This window comes from Homo sapiens, chromosome 4 (genome assembly GCF_000001405.40).
Source record: "Homo sapiens chromosome 4, GRCh38.p14 Primary Assembly".
Taxonomy (NCBI): Eukaryota; Metazoa; Chordata; class Mammalia; order Primates; family Hominidae; genus Homo; species Homo sapiens.
Genome location: NC_000004.12, coordinates 30,473,705 through 30,481,633, shown reverse-complemented (window position 1 = coordinate 30,481,633; position 7,929 = coordinate 30,473,705). Strand labels below are relative to the sequence as shown.

At 34.1% G+C, this 7,929-nt stretch overlaps 1 annotated feature.

Annotated features, from left to right (window-relative positions):
* Positions 6,158 to 6,267: an enhancer, noted in NCBI's record as "active region_21404". NCBI's record gives its function as "activates an Ori minimal core promoter by ATAC-STARR-seq in GM12878 lymphoblastoid cells {active_cell/tissue: GM12878}" and the evidence as "EXISTENCE:reporter gene assay evidence [ECO:0000049][PMID:35858748]".

The window sequence follows — 7,929 nt, the reverse complement described above, 5'->3', positions numbered from 1 at the left end:
TTTGCAAATTATGCATCTGACAAAGGTATAACTTCCAGAACTTATAAGAAACTTAAACCAACAAGCAAAAAACAAGTAATTCAATTTAAAACATTGGCAAATGCATGTGAACAGACATTTCTCAAAAGAAGACATTGAAACTAGCCAACAAATATATAAAACAATGCAAAACTTTTTATTGTTTATTTCTTATCTTGTGAAACATTTCCTCCTCTTGGGGTTAGAAAACCCTGAGGTTTGGTGAATATGAAATGAAACTCTTCAGAATACTAATTGTTTACTGCAAACCCAGAGGGAAGGATAGAGAAGGGATAAAAATGATCCCATCACCCTGGTAGTCAGCATAGCTCCCAATAGGTGGTTTTTCAGACCTGTCCCCCTCTCTCCTTCCCCTGACTAGTAGGCCCCAGTGTCTATTGTTCCCATCTTTGTGTCTATGTGCATTCAATATTTGTCTCCCACTTGTAAGTGAGAACATGCAGTATTTGGTTTTCTGTTCTTGCATTAATTCACTTAGGATAATGGCCTCCAGCTCCATCCATGTTGCTGCAAAGGACATGATTTAATTCTTATGGCAGCATCGTATTCTGTGGTGTACATGTACCCTGTTTTCTTTATCCGGTCTACCATTGATAGGCATTGAATTTGATTCCATAACTTAGTTATTGTGTATAGTGCTGCAATTAACATGCACGTGCATATGTCTCTATGGTGGAACATTTTATATTCCTTTGGGTATATACCCAGTAAAGGAGTTGGTAGGTCAAATGGTAGCTCTGACTTAAGTTTTTTTGAGAAATAAGCAAACTGCTTTCTACAGTGGCTGAACTCGTCTGCATTCTCACCAACAGTGTATTGCCTTTTCTTTGCAGTCTTGCCAGCATGTTATTTTTTGACTTTTTAATAATAGTCGTTCTGACTGGTGTGAAATGATATCTCACTGTGGTTTTGATGTGCATTTCTCTGATGATTTGTGCTCATATGGAACCAAAAAAGAGTACAAATAGCCAAAACAATTTTAAGCAAAAAGAACAAATCTGGAAGCTTCACATTATCTGACTTAAGCTATACTACAAGGCTACAGTAACAGAAACAGCATGGTACTGGTACAAAAATAGACACATAGATCAATGGAACATAATGGAGAAAGCCGATGTAAACCCACACACCTAAAACCATTTGATCTTTGACAAAATAGAAAAAAAAAGCTTTGCGGAAAAGGACCCCCTATTCAATAAATGGTACTGGGATAACTGGCTAGCCATATGTAGAAGACTGGAACTGGATCCCTACCTCTTACTATATACAAAAATTAACTCAAGATGGAGTAAATATTTAAATGTAAGACCTCAAACTATAAAAATACTGGAAAAAAACCTAAGAAATACCCTTCTCAATATTAGTTTTGGCAAATAATTTATGGCTAGGTCTCCAAGAGCAATTGCAATGACAACAACAATTAATTAGTGGAACCTGATTAAACTAAAAAGCTTCTGTACAGAAAAAAAATACCAACATTATAAAAAGACAGCCTAAAAAATGGGGGAAAATATTTACATACTATGCATCTGACAAAGGTATAACTTCCAGAATTTATAAGAAACTAAACCAACAAGCAAAAAAAAAAAAAATTCAATTTGAAACATTGGCAAATGCATGTGAACAGACGCTTCTCAAAAGAAGACATTACAAGTAGCCAACAAACGTATGAAACAATGCAAAACTTTTTATTGTTTATTTCTTATCTTGTGAAACATTTCCTCTTCATGGGGTTAGAAAACCCTGATGTTTGGTGAATATAAAATGAAACTCTTCACAATATGAATTGTTTACTGTAAACACAGAGGGAATGATAGAGAAGGGATAAATATGTGGGCTTTGAAGTCAGTTGGAGTAGACTTGTATCCTGGCTTTATTACTTTTTATCTTTGTGATTTTATAATAGGTAAGTTACTTAATCCCTGCAGACTTCTTTCTCTATCTCAAACAGGTGTAAAATAGCTGTAACTTAAAGAGATGTCATAAATATAGATAACGCCTCTAGAATCCAAAAAGCTCTCAAAATTAGAATATATATATATTTTAAGTTACTTGGTGACAAAAACTAAATTCATTCCTTTTAAGTGGCATGACTATTAACATGTCTCATTTCAGAAGTACCATCACATTTAATTACAAGGTGTCACTCCCTACCCTTGCATAAGGCATTGGCATTATAGTTCACACACTCTCTCTCTCTCTCTCTGAGTGTATATACATAGTATATGTGTGGGTGTGAATGTGTATATATATACACACATGCACATATATATATACACATATGCACATATGTGTGTGTGTTTATGTATATGTATGTATCTCCTTTCTAAAATCTAAAATTTCTAAAATCCAGAGCCCTGGAGTTTGGAATAAATTATTGTGAATTTACAATAATCAAATTAATGATCATAAATTAATTAGGCAAAAGTCAAGAAGATACTATTCTAACATTTGCCAAGCACTTATTCTAGGTCAGTCTCCTTTCATGGCAACCTAGCCTATGGGACTCTGGTTTCCATAAATATTCTGAATAGATATGAGAGTGAAGACTAAAATAATGCCCTTTAGATGACATAGTGAGAGAAGAATCCAACATTTGTTTTATTTATACCTAAATTCTAAAGCTTTTTGAGCCCGATGTGGTAAATGGAACACAGACTTACAATTTTCAGAATCAAAATGTGTAAAGCTTTATGATGGTAAAATGGAAACACTCAGGTTAATGGTATTTATTTATTTTTATTTTTTATTTCATAATAATATACTTGCTATAATGATTTACCTCCTTCTCTCCCCCAACATACAATTTTTTTGGCTCAATTACAATGGTGGAAATTGTATAGAAAATCCATTCTCCTCAAAACAATTTTATTATAGTCAGTCTCCAGAAATGATAGAAAGGGAGTACAGTAGAAATTTGGGGATATTTATTAACTTTTTAAGCAAGTTAAAGTGTATCACTATTTTCATTAGCTTCATTTGGCTGCAGCAGTAAATGTCTATCTTAGTAACTTCTTACTGTGATATACAGACACACAATAATTACCACAATAATTTCATGATTATCATCATTGCTTTTAACTCACTTATCATTTAATACTATTGTATTTTAAGACTACATCGCAATAATATTCAAACGATTTTTGTAATAAAGGAAAGGAAAAGTAAATTTTCATACTTAGGACCAAACCTGGAGTAATATAGAAGATACAAAATTATTCATAACCAAGATATGGTATTTGTTAAATATTTCAAACTGGATGTCAGATGTGTTTGCTGTCACTAATAGCATATGTCTCTAGTATAGCAATGTTCTTTCTTCCGCAAAAGAAGTCACCTTTCTGTGATGTGGTAAATGTTGTTTGTTATATCGAATTAAAGGATACAGATTTCAAGCTGTGTGTAGGTGATACATGAATATTTCACTCCTGCTGACAATCACATTGACTACTGTGTAATTCTTTAAATTGATTCAATCAAACCCTGCTGTTTATGCTTTTAATTGATTGAATTAAAATAACATTTTCAACTTTTAATCATTCCATTAGACAGGGCTCCCTTTGCTTGTTCATGCCCAGGCCAATGCAGATGGGTTGTTGCTTTGTAACTTGTGAAATCCTATCAAACTCTAGGGGGCACTTCAACTTATTTGGCAACAAATATAGGCTTCAGTATCATCACGAGTCAAAAGGACACTACTGCTGGTGTATATTTCAACTGTGCAGAAGGAGATGAATGGAGTGTTCACTTTCCCTGACTCTTCCCAATGTACAGATCATCTGATGTCACAGTCCCCTGAAGTAGGGAGCTTCCTACTGGAGTCACAGATAGAAATTACTATTGATCAAACACTGCCACAAGAGACATGTGATCCAACTTAGAGACAATGCAAACATACACAGGATACTTTGGCTGGAACTAGATCTTTAGGTTCTTATTTCAAAGCATGGCAAGGGATATGGATCATAAAGGCCGAAAACACGTAAGTGCATTATCTATAGAGAATTCCTGAACCAGAGTCAAAGTCTCTAAAGGTTTTCCTGCTTTTCATCATCACCATGTACCAGCAATTCTAAATAACATCAGTGATCTGAGTTTTAAACATTGCTTTGGTTATTGTGAACGTTAATATATATATGTAAACATTGAATTAGCCTGTTTAATTACTTACTCTAATCAACATTGCGCCATCCATGGACATTAATTCAGGAAAACTTCAGTTATAGAGTTGGCTCCTGACACACTTGGACCCAGTTACATACATTTATTTGAAAACTAAGTAACAACTTGTAATGCTTCATGCGTGCTTCCAGTACAACTCTTGTCTCTGGTCCCTGTGCTATCCCAAATTCTGTGTTTAAACAGTAAATTCAAAATAAATAGTGATATCACAGTGAATGTTATGATGAAGAAACAGAAGATTATGTCCTTCACTTCTGTTGTTCTATGTGACCATTTGGAGTTTTTATTTGTGTTTCAATTTTAACGCAGAAATGGAGTACAAAATGTGAGGTATAGTATTTTTGTTTGACAGTCAGATTGTAGTTCTTCTATGAATTATTTTATAAAATTTGAATAACATCATTAAATTGGGATTTATATTCTAAAATTATTGTTTACATTAATAAATGAATCAAGAAAATTGTTATTGCTCTTGATTAGTATATTAGAGAAAATAACTTTATTATTTGAAAGAAAGGGATTTTAAAAATGATCTCTGGGTGTCAAATATACAACACACTGTATTGTCTCAAGGCTATGAATGAAATTAAAAAGGTGTGGAGAGAAACACCACTTTATAATGGAATCTTAGTGTTAGTTAAATGCAATTTTTATTTTTAATTTTTTTTATTTTTAGTTGGAGTCTTGCTCTGTCACCCAGGCTGGAGTGCAGTGGTGCGATCTCGGCTCACTACAAGCTCCACCTCCCGGGTTCACGTGCAAATTTTTCATTTTAATCACTATATAATATTTTATACAAAGGTAGAATCTAGATGAATTAAAGATAAGGTGAAAGATAAAATGCTTATTTAATAGAAGAAATGTTACAGAATATCTTTGTGATCTAGGGGTGAAAATATTTTTTAAATTCTCAAATACCATAAAGCAAAAAATGATTAAAGTCTATCTCATAAAATTAAGCATTTTTGCAAAATGAAGAAAATAATGGTCAGAGGTAATAGGTAGATTAAAGAACAAGAAAAAATATTTGCAATGTTTGAAGCCAAGAAAGAGTTAATATCTAAAATCTTTAGTTTATTCCTTCAAATAAAAGGTAAAAATACATCAGCCTCAATGGACAAATAGAAAAGGTTAAGAATAGGCTATTTACAAAAGAGGAAATAAGAAAATCTTAAAAATATTTTAAGAGATAGTCCAAATCAGGCAACTCTTTTCAGATAGGAGTGCAATATTGGAATTAAGATATGATATTATGTATCTATTACATATATTATATTATATATATAAAAAAGTGTGTATACACATAACCATTTTACAATAATGCATACAAATGAAAGACTCATATTAAACAGAAAAACCATTGCCTTTAAGAAGGTGGAGAATGAGAATGGAATATTTTGTATAGCTTATTCAGATAGTGCTTATAATATGCTAGACTATAGATTTTGGTTTAGCTTATCAAGACAGATAAATTAAACTTATACATCTATTTATATAATTTTCATGTAACTCTCAGGTTAAATAACAATTAAAATTACTCAATGTTGCAAGTTTATCACCATATAATACCAAAATTTTTCTCCCACATAAGCATTAAGTAATTGGTGGTGGGATAAGTAGAGAGATTAAGAGACGGCAGAAATTCCACATCTCTGTAACCTTGACCAGGAGATCTTGAATACAAATTACTGAGGGGGACATGCAGAGAGAAACGATCTAGAAATGATCCTTCGTTTATTAGTTTTTAGCAAAATGTCTTAAATTGACTTTTTTTTTTCTCTAATGTCTAAATTTTCTTCAACGTAAGTATGAAGTTAGTGGTGGTTACAGTAGAAGCACAAACCCTGAACAACAGAGTTCTTTGAAAACATACATTTGGGAAATCCCATTAAATCTCTAATATAAATGGATATTTACATTGCATGTAATTGTATTAAAATCTTAATTGTCCTTAGATACTGGAATGTGTTAAGGCCTGTTTAACATTGCATTTCTTTTGTTTTGGTTTGGTTTTGGTTTTGGTTTGAGATGGAGTCTCGCTCTATCACCCAAGGTAGAATGTAGTGGTGAGATCTCAGCTCGGCTCACTGCAACCTCTGACTCCTGGGTTCACACGATTCTCCTGGCTCAGCCTCCTGAGTAGCTGTGACCACAGGCACCCACCAACACACCCAGCTAATTTTTGTATTTTTAGTAGAGATGGGGTTTCACCATGTTGGCCAGGTCTTGAAGTCCTGACCTTAGTGATCTGCCAGCCTGGGCCTCCCAAAGTGCTGGGATTACAGGTGTGAGCCACCAAGCCCAGCTAACATTGTGTTTCTTAAATATTGGTTCATAAAACAATACCTTCCCTTTTTATCTAATTTCATTTTACTTGAAAATTGCATCAATATTCTGAGGAACAAGTGTTTAAGAAAGCACTAATCTAAGTCTTTGAACTCAGTGCTATCCCATCTCAATGAATGGAGCTAGATTAACTCAGTTGCAAAGATTGCACTTACCTCTCTCAACAAAGAGGCTTCTTGACTCCTGTCACCTCAGCGACAATATACTGATAATATTTTAAATTATTATATTTATTTGTTTTCTTTTCTCATGTCCCTGTCAGTGACTGTTCCCCTTGTCAGATGAGGGCATCTGCATTACATCATGAAGAATGAGGATATTACTACAATAGCCTCTTGAATCCCTCTCCAGACACAGAATTGTTTAAAGCCAAAATATTTGCTTTGTATTAAACTTTGAGTGAAAATAAAAGGCTCAAAAAAAAAAAAAAAAAGGCAAAGCCCTCAATGAAGTAGAGAATGGAGTTCATGTCACAAAAAACTACTGCAATCATTGCAATCATATAGAGAAAGATCCAGATTATCTCATCCCCAGAGAAGACTAGAGAGGATGACTTTACCTGGGAAAATAGAGGAAAAGAGTTTAATAGAGCAGTTTTTGGAACCCAAAATTAGTTCACTGGGACCTGACATGAGAAATTTAGTCTTAGGGAACCATATTCAGTCGCCTGGACACAGCGCTGTGCTGTGGACTGTGCCTGTTGCAGTTGATGTTACTACTAGGAATCAGGAAAGGGACCCAGTCAATGCCTCAGGCCATCTGTAGCCTTCTGTGTATACAACGAATACTGCTTGTCCCCTTTTGATGTCATTATCCAGTGGTTTTCTAACAAGAGGGATGTCTATGTCCTATGACTTTGCTGAGGCACAGTCCAGTGTCTACACGGGAACTTCTGTTTACAATACTTAAATCGTATCTCCCTGCAAAAAAGAGGAGGCTATGGAAGAAAGGGAATCTGCTTCTGTGTGAAAAGCGCCCTTCTTAGTCACTCTGTTACACTTACAGTGTATATACAAATACACATCTTCGGAGAGGGCATTATGGGAAAATCCCTCTCCCTAATGCCAAGAAGATTTACACTGATTTATCTACTTCATGTTCTTTTTCTCCCAGAAATTACCCTGTTCCTCATGGTCCTATGAGGGATGAAGGAGACCCAAGATTGAAAAGCATAGAGCTTTAGCAGATAAGGCCAGTGAAATGCTAGCTAAAGAAGATATCAAAAGTCCAGAGACAAAGAAATGACAATTAACTTTTTTTTACCTCTTCCTTTTAAGTTTTCATTTTAAGTATTGAAATTATACCTTTAGTCCTGGACTTCACTTATTAAAGTGATGTAATGAGTCAGAAGTAAGGAATGGG